Source organism: Homo sapiens, chromosome 16 (genome assembly GCF_000001405.40).
Source record: "Homo sapiens chromosome 16, GRCh38.p14 Primary Assembly".
Taxonomy (NCBI): domain Eukaryota; kingdom Metazoa; phylum Chordata; class Mammalia; order Primates; family Hominidae; genus Homo; species Homo sapiens.
In genome coordinates this window covers 62,011,699-62,029,482 of record NC_000016.10, presented here as the reverse complement: position 1 = coordinate 62,029,482, position 17,784 = coordinate 62,011,699, and the positions used below count along the sequence as shown (strand labels likewise).

Below are 17,784 nucleotides of genomic sequence, written 5' to 3'. Positions count from 1 at the left end.
GTCATTGCTTTAATTGTATGTTAGTTGTGGAGAGGGAAAGCTATTTCTAAAATGCTATTTTATTTATACCCACCCTGGTTCATGCCATTTTTGTTTTACAAATCAAGAGTTTAAAAAAGTTACTTTACTTATTACCTGTCTACACAGAACATTGGAATTTTCCCCACTGAAGTACATACACAGCAAGAGATTGCAATAAAATAATTTTTAAAAATCAGTAAATATTTTCGGTTAAGCACTCGAAACATCCAATAAATAGTTACTACAATAGCTACATTGACAAAGACTTTAAATTACCTTATTTATTTCTTCCTTAATCTTTCAAAGTAGGTAGTATTAAACACAGAGCATCAGTTTCTTCACCTGCCACAAATAAGATAAACGTGCCCAGGTGACTTATTTCATGAACGATAGAGCTGTGATTCAGACTACTTCTATCTGACTCTAGAGTCAATGCTCTAAACAGCTATCTCATGGGGCTTTCCACAGTTCGGCTGAATTACAAGGTTGATAAGAAGAAGGTTGATTCTGATTGATTGCTATGATTTAAAGGACCTGCACGAAATGTTGTCACTCAGTAGGTCTCTGGCTGTTAAATTCTGAACATGTGATCTAAAGACTGCAAAGGGCGTGACTTCAAAGAAGGAGGGATTTAGATTAGACTCGAGAAATGACTTTCTGGCCACCACTGTGTCTGTAACTGGCAAGGGAGTTGTGGGACTGATACTCGTTTTTTTTTTTTTAGGATGATCTTGATACTGGTTTGCCTTTAAAAAGCCCAACAGAAGAAAATTACTCTCAATATCTTAACTAAACTGATGATTCCAAGAAAGTTTTCTAAGTAAAGGTCTGGTTCTAGAACACTAGAGAAGAGATCTTATTTTGACTTTATTGTCTTTGTCACTGGCTTAGTCACCCCATTCTGAAATTTCTGTAACAGAAAAATTTCTACGTGAAGAATAAACTTGTGACTCTACCTTGGGAAAGAAGGAGGAGGAGAGGCATTTATTTATTGATTTTTGCAAAGGAAACCAGCAATTATAGAACTTAAAGAAAACAAAAACTTCAGGTAGAGAGGAGTAACATGGCAGTAACAGAGCAAAAAGTGGATTTGAGGCCGGTCGCGGTGGCTCACGTCTGTAATCCCAGCACTTTGAGAGGCTGAGGCAGGTGGGTCACTTGAGTTCAGGGGTTTGAGACCAGCCTGGCCAGCATGGTGAAACCCCATCTTTACTAAAAATACAAAAAAAATTAGCCGGGCATTGTGGCGGGTGCCTCTAATCCCAGCTACTCAGGAGGCTGAGGCAGGAGAATTGCTTGAACCCAGGAGGCAGAGGTTGCAGTGAGCCGAGATCGTGCCATTGCCCTCCAGCCTGGGCAACAAGAGTGAAACTCCAACTCAAAAAAAAAAAAAAAAAAAATGGATTTGACAGATATTATTCTGGATGTCAAAACAAGCAAACAATATGCTTTTGGACAGATTGACATCTGGATAAATATGTGGTCTGATGCCAGAAAGGATGACCGGAAGGGTTGTGGCTGAGTGAAGGATACACAAAATAATATGTGCACGTGTATGTGTGTGGGTGTGTGTGTTTACATAAACAATTTCAGAATATGTTTCTGCCAAGGGAATCTGGTTAGAGAATTCTGAAGGCTTTAGGAAAGGTGATCTTCCTGTATTATTTATATTTGAATAAATGCAAGTGTATTTCCTCTCTAAAATCCAAAGGCTTTTTCTACCTGCTCAGCCCCATTCAGCCAGGGCTTGGGTGAATTGCTCTGGGTCACACACTGAATCGCCACCCCCTGCTTTCGTGAAATACCACTTTGAATTCAATGTGCATTTACCTGTTTTGAAACAGGCTGCTAATGGCTCTAAATTCAAGGTCAGAAACATTTTTAATAGAAACTCACTGGTCCTCTGTGTCATTTTTGCTTTCATGAAATATTGTGGCTGCTAAGCCTAGTGGATAATAAAAGCATAGTTTCCTGTCAACCACAATAATCTGCTGGATTGAATCCTGAAGTGTCTGTAAAAGCCTGTTTTTGTTTTAGACGTCACCTATCAGTGTGTTGTTCATCATTTTGAACTTTAATCCACATTATTTACAAAACGGATGGTGTAATATGTTTTTGCATAATGACTTATATATCCGTGACTTGACTGAGTTCATCTTAAAATAATGTTGGAATCAGCAGAGTGAAATTCAGGCTGTAATTAGAACTATCTCTGAAATGTAAGTATGAATGAAAAGTCAGATTTTAAGTATTTTACCCAGGAAAATATATCATCATATGGGGGAATTCTAAAGACTTTCGTATATGTAAGAATTCCAGAGAAACTGTAAAATCTCTTCATCTCACTATCTGAGTGTAAATCAATGCAGCAGCATTATAATAAAGTAGATTGCTTTGTCAGACACACATACTGTGGTTGGAAAATGTAAAAATAAATTGATTTCTTTTACCCCAGCTTTACAACCTTGCTCAATTTCTTCTTCCTTGCATCAAGTTAAGCAGTTTGTGTATGCAGCTACTATTCGCAGTTATTAATTAATACTGATAACACTGACATAAGACTCAGTTGCATCTCACAAGTTTCTACAAAGCCATTCTCTGATGTTCTAAGAGGACAGTGTTAGTCTGCCCATGGCAGAGGTACAAGCATACAAATAGTGTGGTTCCAAGTGTCACAGCAGAGTCCCATCCCTCTCGAATTAGCAGGATTGCCTTGAAGACCAAGTCTCAACTCTCCCTGATAGCATGCATGTGCCTGTGAACACACCAGTTAGCTCAGCAATTTTCCCAGTGCCTCACATAAAATAGATCTGTGAGGAGAGGAAAGTATTGTCACATCATATAAAATTGCATATATTCATATACCCTAGTTCAAGGTTTCCCCAAATCCATGTGTTCAGTCCTTTATTCACAGCGGTGGTTAAGTAGTTCATGGCATGACATTCAATGACATGAGGAAGTGACTCTTCCACCACACCACTGAGTCCTTTAGGTTATCTCTAGGAGGTCTGAGCTGCGAGCTGGTCTTCTGTAGAACTACTTGCTTCGCAAAGTGTGGTTTTCAAATCAGTAAGTAGCATCAGCACTGCAGGAAGGTTATAAGAAATGCAGAATCTCAAATCCCACACTAACCTAAGTGATTCATAATCTGTGTTTAAACAAGATTTCCAGGTAATTTGGATGCACGTTAATATTTGAGAAGCACCCCACTACAGGTGTGCTAGCATTGGCTCTTTATTGGGTTTTAACAGAGCTGATGGTTAAATTTTCAGTAATTTTCAGAGCTGGTTAATGGTCATTCGGAAGCTTAAAATTGGTCATGGTGGAAGTATTTATACCAGGAAAATCAGAAAACATTACAAATCAGAATTTTTTCTTTCAAAGAGCCACTTATTAAATATTAACCAGTCTGCCTCTAACTATTGCTGGTCTTTCTTTTTAGCAAATAGTGAGATGACCTCAGGCTTTTAACAGTGTCTGGTTTAGTAAAAATGAAACATTACTTAAAATACTAATCTCCCTGTACTTTAATTTGGTTATCTCTACAATGAGAATGATTATAATAAAGTAATAATAATATTATATTATTTTGAAGAATAGATATGAATCTATATGTATATATCTGTGTATGTATAGTTCTTTATGATTTAATATTATCTGAGTACTTCCTAAGTGTTTGCTATTAACCTCGTAATTTTAAAGTTATATTCCATTATGGAAAATAATATTAGCTTTCCATTTAAAAATAAATATTTCAAAAACAGTCTATTTCAATAAAATTTAAAGTAATAATACAGATGATTTAAGAATTTGGCAAAATCTAAGAGATGGCATATAAGTGTTTCAGTCTCTAGAAGCTCCCTACAGACGATGTGACAGGAATGACCTATGTGGATGAAAGGTTTCCCCTGAGTTGGGCTAATTTCTCCCCGGGGCTATACCATTGACTTCAGGGTATTGGCCATCTCACCCCTAGAAACCCCTGAAAATTGGGAAGTTGCACGGGAATAGCACTCAGTTGCCCCTCACACCCTCTCTGTGGTATATGGCTAGACCTTTGGAGAAATCAAACATGCTCTTCTCTTCACAAAGAACTGGCAGAGGAAAGGGCTATATACTTAATATGTACTCTGTAGAGACCATCATTATTATGAATTTGATGGGTAGGAAAAAAGATGGAGTGACGATGGACTGGGTGATTCTGCAAATAATAATTTGAAAATTACCTTAGATGCTGATTCATTCAGAGATCCTAGATTAATTGGTGGTCTTGTTTGTATCCATTGGTTGACTGAAATGTTCTTTCACTTATACCCCCTTCTCAGTTGGTTAATTCTATTTCGACATTTAAATGACATCCCCTCTAGGAAACCTTCTTTAATGCTGCCAATATGAGTGGCTTACCCATCACTCTGTATTTCTTTTAAACCTTCTAAGACTACGTTTCAGTGAATTGTTTATGTATTTCTTTATCTTTGCCAAACAGATTCTTTGCTTCCTGAAGAGAGCAGTTCTGACCCATTTGCCTTTCTCTCCCCAGTACCTGACATACAGTATATGCTCATGAAATATTTCTACAGTGAGAGGAACGGTCTTGTTCAAAAAGAATTTTGAAATTACATTACTTAGGTTCAAATAATGGTTATCTCTTTACTTAGAAGTGCTCCTTGAGTAAATCATTTCATTATTCTCTGCCTCAGTTTTGAACACAACAAAGCAAGGCATTATATGCTTTATCTAACAGTAAGATATTGTGTTAGTGGATACTATTCGTGACTACACACGTATCCCCTTTTTAATTAACCTACTTATCCTGACTAGTCCAGCTATGCCATTGCATAACATTGGTCCAGAGTCTATTATCATTTTTTAACTTATTCTGGTGAGTTCAGGTAGAGGGAACTCACTGCAATCAATGCTGCAGTCCATCCAACATACCACAGTCCATCCTCATTGCTGCTTGGTGGTTTCCATGAAAATGTCTATTATGAATTTAAATTTAGATGAAATTTTCTTATCCTAGAGTCATTAGCAACAAAGCAGATGCCAGAGTATACTTGCAGAGTGTTTGGCAAAATTTTAAAGAACTGTGCATGCTAGTCTATCCTATCTGACGTACCATGAGTATCTCCTTTAGTCCTCAAAACCAACCTGTCAGATCAGTGTTATTATCATTGTTTCATTGCTATTGTTGTTAATTATCCCTCCCTCCGCCGTTATACAACTGGTCAGTGTAGGAATTAGAACTCAAACCCCAAGCAGGCTGACACTAGAGGTCATTCTCACAACCATCTCATTGTTCTGCTATTGTAGAACCCAGGCCAACCAGGTACAGTGGCTCATGCCTGTAACCCCAGCTGTTTGGGAGGCTGGAGTGAGAAGATCACTTGAGGTGAGGAGTTCGAGATGGAGATCAACCCCTCCCCCAATTCTAAAAATAATAGTAATAATAAAATTAGCCAGGCATGGTGGTGCACGCCCAGCTACTCTGGAGGCTGAGGCAGGAGGATCACTTGAGCCCATAAATATGAGCCTGAGTAAACAAATAAACAAACAAAACTTATGCCTTTGGAGAATAACATACATGGCTTTTGCACATTCAAGTATGGTCTATCATGGAGTAGGGGAGAACTGGAAAGAGTTAAGTCCCTTTTCTCTGAGAAGTTTAGGCTGAGCCTCCATGACTAGAATGGATCTCCCCATGTGTGTTAAATGGCACAGGTCTTTCCCCTCTAGCACCATCCTCATCCTCCACCATAGGGAAGATCTTTGCGTAACTTTGTGACACCCTCATACCTTACCAACTTTTACTGCAGAAGTTACATAGCTTCACTCTGCTCATTCATTTTTTTTGTTTTCTCAAAGCCTCTCTAGGGCAGGAATCCTGTCATCACCACACATCTAGCCCAGGATAACCACGTGGATTCCAGTTTACCAAGTATTTCCCATGATCTGGCTGGTTTACATGTGTCTTATTTCTGAACCACACTATTGTCCCGTTAGGTAGGAATTATTATTAATGCCACTTTGCAGAAGAAAAGACTGAAGGTCAGAAAACTTGACTATCTTGTCCATCATTACAGAGACAGCAAGCAGGGTGAGCTGGGATCCAAACCCAGGTGTATCTGTTTCCAGAACAGACAGTCCTCAGCACACACAAGATGCCTTATCACCAACTTCTCGCTCGGGTCTAGAGAGAGCACAGCATGGGTATGCTGTAAATGCTGTTAAAGTAATAAGTGGCTTGACCATTCAGAAAGATACAAATATTTGGGGGTTTCTTTATGGGGGCTTTTTGAATTTTGTTTAGTTTAAGTTTTGAAGCCTGCCAAGGTCTGCTCACACACTGGGATGAGAGAAAGACTTAAGGGGAATCTGTTTTAAGGCGAAGATTTTCTGCAATTCCAGGGAAAGGAGGAGACTTTGTTCTGGACTCCGTTTTCTCTGTATTGGCTCCCCATTGAAAGCTGTTTTCTTTGTCTTCCATTTCCAAAGCAACTGCTGCTTGCTGTGGCTCCTCTATACTCATCAGGTTAAGCCCTTTTAAATTATAGAGTCCCGGTGATTGAGCTGAGCCCAGGCAAAGAATGACAAGCAGGGTGATTCTACTGGCCATCTTGTTAGATCAGATACTGCCTGTACTTGCAGTACAATCTGGGTCTGCCCCTTTCAGCTGGCTTCAGTAAGGCCACTCACCAGCCCAGCTAATGTTAATGACTTTCTAGCTTTCTTATTCTGAGCCAGAATGGAACCAGAGACCTAGAGGTGAAAGGTTTCCTCCCCTTTTATGAATTCCCTGAGCCACACTGTCCCCGAGGGTGTCCTGAGAACTTATTTTCCCATTTAGTCTAATTCAGCAAAGCTTCTCTCTTGGATCTGCAGTGAACATTATTTCTTTAAAAATATTTTTTTTTGAGAGTAAAGAAACACATTTTGCCACGCTGAGGGTAAGCAAAAAATGTATCTGACACCTCAGGTAATGGGGATTTTTTTGTGCCCTTGCCTTTCTGAATCTCTTCAGTTGAACATTACATTTGTTACCATATTTTATTTCCAAGGGGGATTTCCACAATTTAAATCTCCTGTTTAACTGTACATTTAGAATGGGGACCCTGACACTGTCCTGATTATAGCATACAAGCTGGACATTACAGAATTTTTCTCTGGGAGCATTCTAATTTTATTCACTCATTATTAGCATCCTGGCAGAGGATTGCATTCTGCACCCTGAACTGGGCAATCCCTTCTGATGAATCCTGGAAGCTAAGATTGTAAAAATTGGGGTAAATTCCCCTTCCCATTCTCATTTATATTTTTTTAATGTTGTTAATTCAAAGCTAGTTATTTCATGGAGTTTAGCATAAAAGGAACTAAAATGTGTCTTTTAAACAGGTAAAAAAAAAGTGAAAGAAAGAAAAACAAAGAAAGAAAGAATAAAAGGCCTACAGTGTGTTCGACAAGTGGGCTGTGTTAGCATACACCCTGAAGTGTTAAAACAAAAAAGAATGGAAGAAAGAGAGAGGAAGGGATGGACAGAGGAGGAGGAAAGTCAAGAGGAAGAAAAGAAGGAAGAGAGGGAGATGGGAAAGAAAGAAGCAAGGAGGAAAAAGAGAACTTCTATTACGCAAACCAGTTTCTGATAGGTCACATAGCTACCAATGAAAGCTAAAATCTAAATAAAGCTTAAAAATTAAAGGACTTACTAGGCTACTTATTCTAATTCTTCAGATCCACTTTCTTAACTCAAGAGTTTGAGAAGTGCCTACTATTGTTCACTTCAGGTGCTTTTGAAAAGCAGTGATTTTATTTTAAAACCAGTTTGAGTAGACCCTTATCTTTCTTCCTCCTTGTTTTTGCAGGAAATTTCAATGAAAAGAAAAGCCAATGGATTGTGGTCTTAGAAAAGCTGCTTAGATGATGTCTGTTTCCCGTGCTATAGACACGTGGCAGAGCTGTAAGTAAATGCTCGGCACTGCATGATGAATTGGATGGCTGCAGACCGGAGACAAAAAAAATAATTGTCTCATTTTCGTGGTGATTTGCTTAACTGGTGGGACCATGCCAGAACGGCTAGCGGAAATGCTCTTGGATCTCTGGACTCCATTAATAATATTATGGATTACTCTTCCCCCTTGCATTTACATGGCTCCGATGAATCAGTCTCAAGTTTTAATGAGTGGATCCCCTTTGGAACTAAACAGTCTGGGTGAAGAACAGCGAATTTTGAACCGCTCCAAAAGAGGCTGGGTTTGGAATCAAATGTTTGTCCTGGAAGAGTTTTCTGGACCTGAACCGATTCTTGTTGGCCGGGTAAGCTTTGTTTTTAAGATCTCAATTTCAGGGTCTGTTAGTGGTCTTAAGATGTTTAATACCAGACTCTTTTTAATTGTGACCACACTTAGCTGTAAATTGTTCAAGCCAGATGTTTAGTGAGTTTACCTGTCGTTCTGTTAGGAATACGATTAATCCCAAGGTAACAGTTTTAAATGGTCTTGTAGGGAAAGCTTCTCCTACCACCTCTTCCACCCGGCTATCAGTAAAATACAACACTGCTTATATAATGCAAAAACAAATAACGTTTTCTTTCTCACTCACACGAGAGAGATCTCATGCCAAACCTTTTCTCTAGTTTATAGTACTTGGAAGAGATACGCACATTTTCTCAGTTTGAATTCCTACCACTTCAATTACTGAGAGTTTATTTTGTTTTATTTTATTTTAAGGCTATGCAGATATATCTAATTGCAGGTGGATATTTATCTTTTTTGTTTTATCATCTGCTTTTTCAATAATTGACCTAGGATGGAGAAAAGGAAGTTCTTAAAGTAGATGCTTAACTGTGCATTGTACTATTTGAAAAACTTTGCAATAGGAAACTAGTTCATTCATTGTCAGGTGAAATCAAATGTACAGAATCAAAATTTTAGTTTAGTGGAGTGTGTGTGTGTGTGTGTGTGTGTGTGCGCGCGCGCGTGTGTGTGTTAGACTGGACTTACATTTGTTTTGCTGTTGTTGGCAGGTTAGACAAATGTTCTTTGTGTAGACATGGGCTGCCTGCTTTCCAAAATCACACTGGGTTATTGGAGACTACACGTGTTTATTCCTCAGAACTGTTCATAAGCTCCTTTTAATTTTGATGCACATCTTCATGTAGGTATAATTCCAATTATGAGCCTGCCAATGACTGATTTTCTTGATAAGCTTTAGAAGTGAATCAGGCCAATGTTATTCACTTCCCAAATGCAATGATTTAAAAGAAAAATAGGAGGGGAATTAAATGCTGATCTTCAAGACTTGAGTTAACTCTTTGTGTTTCACTGGGAACTTCTGATTGCATTACTGCTTTTACCCTATTGTCTTGCAAAACAAATTGAGCCTCCCCAAGGACTATGTTTCTCATTTCATATGGTTCTACTTGGATGAAGAAAGCCTGCATAAGGAGATATCATGAATCATTACATGGATATTTATTGAGCCTTTCCTATGTGCCAGATGCTCTATTAGACACAGGAGGCGTATCAATGAACAAAACAGTGATCTCTGCCTTTAAGGAACTTATGTTTTGGCCAATACTGAGTGTTTATTGTCTGTTGAACACTATTATAAAAGCATTTTGTGGGCACCAACCTTTCTGATTCAAACAATAGCCCCCCTTCAGTATATGCATATATATGTTCATTTGCATGTATGGATACAAATATATATGTATGAAACAAGTCTGCACTCCCTCTGTCCTAAGTTCAAAGTGTAAAATCTGAAAGATTTTTTTGTATCCTTGATACAAACTCAGGGAGCAGAACCGACTTGAGGCTATTATAGTCATAGTGCGTAATTGTGACTGTTCATATATTTTGCTGCAAAAAATGTTAATGTGGTTGATTACAGGGTGCTGCCCCAGACCCTGCTGAGGGTGTTACTTACCATATAGTTTATATACCTTAATGTTTCTGAAGTATGAAAAGTTTTGAATTCCAAGATACATCTGGCCCCATGGGTTTTGGATATGAGCTTCTTTACCAGCATTATCTTATCTTTTTTGTAGGTACAAAAGTGAGGTTTAGATGGATTAATAAACCAAACCAAGATCACAGAGCTGGTAAATTATCTGCCTGAGTTTGAATCCTGTTGGAAATGCCAGTGGCCATTATTTCACCCACTATACCTTATTACATATTAGGAACCAGCTAACTGGAGTTTAAACTGTAATTTACACTTATGAGTTATTGAGTATAGAATGTAAGGTCTTTACATGCCTACTTCTGGATATTCAGAACTTCTTTAATCAGCCCTAAGGCAAGGCGTTCTTATACCATATGAAATTCTGGGAATACATGCATATTTACATAGTGGATGCTTTGTTCCTTGCTTTTCTTAGTTATCTTTTTATGAAGGTATATCACTCTGACTGTGTCTTGCATAATGTAAATAACAAAACATGCTATGCCTGGGAGAACAATTCATTTTTATCTGGGTAGAAAAAGTAATTAACGTGGGGTTGCTTTGGACTCAGAATCCGATAACTGATTTCATCTCCATTCCTTACATGAAGTAATAGAGATAGAGGTAAACAGCCAGGCATTCAGCATCTTCTTGTGACTTATTGACACGTGAGACGTTCATGCTTCTCTGAATGACAGAAATGTTGCCAGTGAACCTTAGGATTTTGAAATAGCCCAAATGCTTTTGAGTCTTAGTGATGGTTTTTATCTAGCCTTTTCACGGTTTCCTACCATGACCAATTCCCAAACAATTGTTAAGTCAGAGTTTATTTTCTGGAAAACTTTTCTGCGAACATTTCCCATCATACCTATTTCCCTTTAAAGAAAAATGCTCCTGAATTATGACAGTGTAGCCTTGGAGGATCTTGGGTTGTAGCGTAGCCAAAAATACATTTCAGGTGACTGCTTCAGATTATGAGTCAGGCTGAGTGCGAAGATGATCTGAATCGGGGTGCCCACCGGTGCTTTAGTGTTTTACCTCTGTGCACACTCTTCCACATCCGACTCTTTAAACCACTTCACCTCCCAGCTTCTCCCCAGGAACCGGCTGAGAAGCATTACTTACTTATGAGCACACCTGCTCTTTGAAAGGCCCTCCTGCGAGTCACCATGGCGGCGCCTCTGACCTAGCAGGCTGAGTTCAAGCTCAAGGGCAGAGCTAGTTTTTGAGCGATAGGTTCTTCAGAGCTTCACATATAACCTTACAGCATCCATCATCTGTTTTTAGTATATTGGTAGGCAGCTGGATGCTGAGAAAGCTCCTTAGCATCAGAGATGTACTCTCTCGAGGTCTGAATATGAGCTTGGCCACTTTCTGGGTGTTAACCCTGAGAAGGTTACTGAAGTTTTTCAAGGATTATGCAAATAAGATAAATAAGAATTTGTAAGAGTAAAGAAAATAATAGAAGCATAGTGCCTGCTATATAGTAATTGTAGTTGTAATTGTATTCTTAATTGTATGTGTGTGTGTATGTGTTTGTAGTTGGAGTGGCAGACAAATTAACAATTACCTCACTAGGTGAATAACAAGACTCTGGGAGCCCCTTCACAGGTACATGTTGTATAGTGTGGAGGTGATGTTTCTGTGTGTCTTGAAGAGTCACTGGCCCGGGGGTGTGGGGTGGGAAGTGAAGTGCCCCAGCAAGATAGAGGAGTTTATGCAAAGTCACTGGGGAGAGAGTAAGATGACTGAGAGTAAGATGCTTCCCTCGGTCAGAAGCAACAAAAGCCTTTATATTTTCTGTTGAAATGGAATGAAGTTAGTGGTCAAATATATTGGTTTCTTTTTAAGATAAGGTCTTGCTCTGTCACTCAAGCTGGAGTCCAGTGATGCACTCACAGCTCACTGAAGCCTCGATCTCCCAGGCACAAGTGAATAGTCCCTTCTTAATAGCTGGGACTACAATCATGCACCACCATGCTTGGCTATTTTTGTTTAAATCTTTTGTAGAGATGGGGTATCCTGTGTTTCCCAGACTGATCTTAAACTCCTGAGCTTAAGCAGTCCTCTGGCCTTGGCTTCTCAAAATGCTGGGATTACAGGTGTGAACCACTGTGCCCGGCCTGAAAGTCATATTCTTAGAGAGTTTTTCCCTATCAGTTCTTCTAAAATGTAATTGTTCCTCCTTTAATATTTCATACCCTTTGTCTATGCTTGACTGTTTTTCTTCCTGATAATCATTATCTAACATACTCTATACCTTATTATGTTTATTATTTGTCTCTTCTAGGATGCAAGTTCCGCAAAGAAAAGGATTTTTGAGTCCTTTGGTCTTTGCTCTGTATTCCCAGAACCTAGAACCCTGCCTGCATATAGGAACTGCTCAGTAAATACTTTACATGAAAAAATAAATGAATAATTTACCTACATAATGGAAGAATGTATAATAGTCATATAAGCTCAGTGGCATTTTTCAATAAAGGAACTTTCATGTTCTCTCTTTCATATGAGTATTTTATAGACCACCTGGGTAGTTAACAATTTTTTTTATGTATTGATTTTGAAAGTCTTTCTTTGAGGTAGTGGGCATGAAGAAAATGTTAACTTGTTTAAGCAACTCTCTTTCAAAAAGCTGCAGAATTACCTCTGTGGAGACTGTCTTTCTTACCACTGTCATAAAGCAAGACGTTGTCTTCCAACTATCTTCAGACTTTTGTGTTTGGGCTTATGGTACAAACTGGAGCAGAAAGCTTTTGTCTGGATTTCTGAAAAGCAAATACCAGTCAAATAGACTCTATTCCTGCCTCCAGTCCTCTGTGGACCAAGGCAAGGCAGAGCCTGTTCATAAACACATAAACATTGAGCATTCACATCTCCATGTACCTCAGTGTTGACTTTCTTTGGAAATTGTGATAGAGAAAAAAGTGGCTCATGGGACACTTAGCCCAATTATGCTTATTTGTTCTGGTCTTAGGAAAGAGAAAACCTGTGGTGGTTTTTGATGAATCTGGCCACAACACAAAAATACTATTCTGTGGTAAAATGTGCAGATACTCTTTATGGTAGACAGCTTGATGTCATTATGAGAACCCTTGGCTGCAAGTCAGGACGGTGATTGATACAACCATGCCACGAATATTTATTGAGCATCTACTATCTGCAGAGCATTTCATTGCCAATGGATTCTCAGCTCTGAGCAAACACAGATCTATCTATGCCTTCTGCATGGAACTAATGAGCTCCTAGAGGGAGACAGACATTAAAACGGATAATCACATGAAGAAACATCACAAGAAAACTGAAATAAGTACTCTGACATGAAGGAATGTGGTTCTCTTGAAGCATATACAGAGGAAGCTGCCCTATTCTATGGAAGGATGGAATCTTCCCAAAGGAAGTAACCTGGAAGCTGATATGCATTAACCTGTTGTTGAACCAGGGTTCAGGGATAAAGAGAAAAAGAGCATTTTTGATAGAGGAAATAGCATGTTCAAGGCTATATGCAGAGCTGAGAGAGGGTCAGGGTAACTGAGTGTGTCTTAGTCAGTTCTGCTGTATAATAAGTTAAGATAGACTGGGTTGCTAATAAACAATAGAAATTTATTTCCCTCAATTCTGGAGGTTGGTAATCTTTAAGATCAGGGTGCCAGCATGGTTGGTTCTGGTGAGAGCCCTTTTCCAGTTTGTAGACTGCAATCTTCTTGTATTCTCACATTGGTAGAAAGAGGGCAAGGAAGCTTTCTGGGGCTTCTTTCAGAAGGGCTCTAGTTACCTTCATGAGGGTTCCACCCTCATGACCAAATTACCTTTCAATAGACCCATCTCTTAATACCATCAAATTGAAGATTAGAACTTCAACATACGAAGGTCGTAAACATTCAGTCCATTGCGCTGAAACACAGAGAACTAGGCTTAAAGTCTCTTGTGTCAAGTTAGAAAGATAAGCAAGGATCTCTTGGAGATCTGGCTTCTTTCTCTTTTAATTCTACTACAAAGTAACTGGGAAATAAAGTCATTTCTGTTAGGTGCAATTTCCTCACTTCTGAGTGTATGGGATTAAGATATTATATATTTAAGATACAAACCCCTATGGAACTGGAATACACACACACACAAACACACACACACATGCCCCACATGTTCATTGAATATCCTTTTTCTAAAATGCTTGGGACTAGAAGTATTTCAGATTTGAGATATTTTCAGATTTTGGAATATTTGCACACATATTGAGATATCTTGGAGAATGGAGCCAAGTCTAAACATGAAATTCATTTATGTTTCATATTTACCTTACACACATAGCCTGAGGGAAATTTTCTATAATTTTTAAAATAACATTTTTATGTAACAAAGCTTTGACTGTGACCCATCACATGAAGTCAGGTGTGGAATTTTCTACTTCTAGTGTCATGTCAGTGCTCAAAAACTTTCAGATGTTGGAGCTTTTTAGATTTCAGATTTTCGGATTAGAGATGCTCAGCCTCTGTGTGTGTGTGTGTGTTTGTGGTGGGGGGGTATATGTAACATCGATTTTTGGCTCAGGTTGCTTTAGTCCTTGTTCTGTAAGTCCTGTGATCCTCAATTCCTTATATTGCTTATTTTGGGAAAAAAAAAACCAGTCTGCTCTGCAGGTGGTCATAGTTCTTCTATACTAAATCCTCTCTCTTACATAAACTTCTCTGCTCTCTTTCCTCCCTTTATTCCTCCTACCTGGGCTTCTGAGCTGTTCCTTATTTGGATGTAACTCTCTTGCTGGTAATGCCACATCTATTTATAATTCTCTTCCTCCAAGGCACTGACTCATTTTCTCTCTTTAAATTTGACCTTCTAACCTTCCCTCTTTACTGTAACTTGGAAATCATTTGGGTGGTGCTTAGTATGAAGGACACGGGATGCCAAATAATTACACTATATTACAGTTTACGGTGTCTGCGACGGGTGAGAAAATTGCACTTGACATGCCATTATTTTTTGCTGGCTGTTTGCATGTTAAGAGCGTTGGACTACGCAGTCACAGCTTAATTGTATCTTTGGCCTTGTGGGAACAATTCACTGTCAGTTCCATGAAGCTTCTACCTACTCAGACAGAGCCTTGTGCACCAATAATTTGGCAGGAATGCAAGTCAGCACGCATGTCTCAACCTGGCCAGACAACAAGAGTTGGCTCCCTCTTGTCCAATGTTCCGACTTAGAAATAGGGGTATCCCAGAGCTGTTGGAAATCTTTGGCTGCTAATATAAATAATATAAATAAAGAGAATAATATTAGTCATTTAAATTAGCAGAAATTAGCAGAAACCCTAAACACACACATGCTCACCTACACATGACATGCTCACCTACACATGCACACACATGCACATGGAGGATTTCTTAGCTTAGTTTGTTCATGAGCAAACTCCCAAATCGTCTCTTAATCCTTTTTGTTTTTTCCTGTAGCTCCAGACTCTCACCCTGCTCATCTCATTCCTTACCAAGGGATGAGGTGAGAGAGAGTGGATAATCAATGCTTATGTTTGTAGATGCTCTGAGAAGTAAATTCTCAGCTTTCTTATAAGAAGAATCTTGCATATTTTGTCAGCTATTTGAGAGTCATCTCATGAAGGCAGATATTTTTCCCACTTGAAGCAAAATAATAGCAGTCATATGTTTACGGATGACACAACCAGATTATATAATTCTGTTTTTTAAATAGATTGCAACAAGATAGTCAGTATAAAAAAACAAGTTCAGAGTATTGATTCCTATTACAAGTATGAAGCTGAAATTCACAGGGAAGCATTGGGCAAATATAAATGCTACATGACTGGAAAGTGACTCATTGCATATTCACGTGACAGAATAGCATAAAGTCATTAAAAAATTAAGATTTATAACATAAGAGTGTGGTTGCAACTTAATAAATATCAAAGGCAAGATATAAAATGTGTATAGAAAATAATTATTAAAATATATGTGTGATACAGTCAGAGTGCCTGGCATATATCTGTTAAAATATGTGTGTGAACATGAAAAAATACATTTAAACATTTTTGTATCTATCTTCAAACCATGAATATAGATGTATGTATTCAAATTTACAAAAATAATGAGCCATTAGTGCCCATTATCCTGCTCACCCATACACCCATATTCAATACTTTCAGTCATTCTACCGCTATTTTTTCAATTACCTTCACCCCCACAAATGCATACACATTGCCAATGCTCTTGATTTAAGTAGTTAATTTTTTTTTTTTTTTTTTTTTTTTTTTTTTTTGAGACGGAGTCTCGCTCTGTCGCCCAGGCCGGACTGCGGACTGCAGTGGCACAATCTCGGCTCACTGCAAGCTCCGCTTCCCGGGTTCACGCCATTCTCCTGCCTCAGCCTCCCCAGTAGCTGGGACTACAGGCGCCCGCCACCGCGCCCGGCTAATTTTTTGTATTTTTTAGTAGAGACGGGGTTTCACCTTGTTAGCCAGGATGGTCTCGATCTCCTGACCTCATGATCCACCCGCCTCGGCCTCCCAAAGTGCTGGGATTACAGGCGTGAGCCACCGCGCCCGGCCTTAAGTAGTTAATTTAAAGAGAATGCAAATCACGTCTATAACCACTATTCACTGTTTTGATGTGGAGATTTCCCCAGTTGAAAACAACACAGAATCATAAAAAAATCCCAAATGCATGATTATATCTAATGAGTATGTGATATCCAGGTAACCCACCTTAAAAAAAATTGAGGAGTTAATTTCTGACATTGATTCAGATTAGTAACTATACCGCAAAGCAATACAGGAGAACCTGTAAGGAAATATATCAATATATTCAATCTTTTTTCCGCCAATATATGTGGTTGGATTATGAGTTTTAAAAAATAATTTTCTGCATTTTATTTTCTTAATATGCTTTTATTAAAATGTAAAACTTAATAAAATGAGAAAAAATAATATATTTTTCAATTATCTTAACATCAATGCCATCCATTCATAGCAAATTCTTGGGGACCATTACTTAATGTAAAACAAATTTGGTAAATAGAATCTCGTTTTAAAAACTACACCTCTGCTAAACACTTGTATGGCCAATCTCATCAATTAATAAAGCACTAGGCTTATTTAATCATTTTTATGAAACCGTGAAGAGAGAAAGAACAGCTACAATCTTTCTGCATTGCTAAATGCACTTTAAACAAGTTCCATAACTATGGAATAGACCAGATATTAACCAGATGTGAAGGTTTTATATTTGATTTTTTAAATGGGAAACTATCTTATGAGTCTTCAAGTAATATAATCAGCCTACAGGTTGCCTGTAATTTTTTCAACAGATAGGAATGACCTAGAAAAGTTATTTATGGAACGATGTTATTTAAGAAACATAAAAGTGTTACAGTGTTTACAGAATTTCTTTTGGCCTGGCTAAGAATGTTTGCTAGACAGTGGTATTTTAAAAATAGTTCAGCATTTTCCATCTGTACATATCATTTCCATTATAATTAACTTAAGTTCACCCACCTGCATGCACATACACACCTTGGCCTAATTTGGTCATCCACATTTCTGTCCCTAAGTCTTTGAATATTTCATTACACAATATTTCAATAGGCAGCCTTGTGCACAAAAATCGGAATACTCAGTTAAGATATGAGCGTGTTTTCTCATCAGCACTGGCTCTCTAACCTCAGATTTTAATATGTTTAGGAATCCCTTTAGATGTTATATCCTAGAGGAGAAATATAATACACTACATTTTTATTACTCAAAGTGAGGTCTGCAGACCACCAGCAGCAACACATGGGAGCTAGTTAGAAATACAGAATTTCATTCAACATCTGTACACCTGG

General features: G+C 38.3%; 1 protein-coding gene across 5 annotated transcripts in view; it reads left to right on the top strand.

Moving 5' to 3' along the window:
- CDH8 (cadherin 8) overlaps positions 1-17,784 on the top strand; it is a 389,189-nt gene that overhangs the window by 6,956 nt on the left and 364,449 nt on the right. For all 5 annotated transcript variants that reach the window (NM_001796.5, XM_005255760.5, XM_047433482.1 and 2 more), the window contains exon 2: positions 7,881-8,331. In NM_001796.5, coding sequence (NP_001787.2) covers positions 8,080-8,331 — 252 coding nt within the window. In that variant the 5' untranslated portion in view covers positions 7,881-8,079. The remainder of the gene's footprint in view (positions 1-7,880; positions 8,332-17,784) is intronic.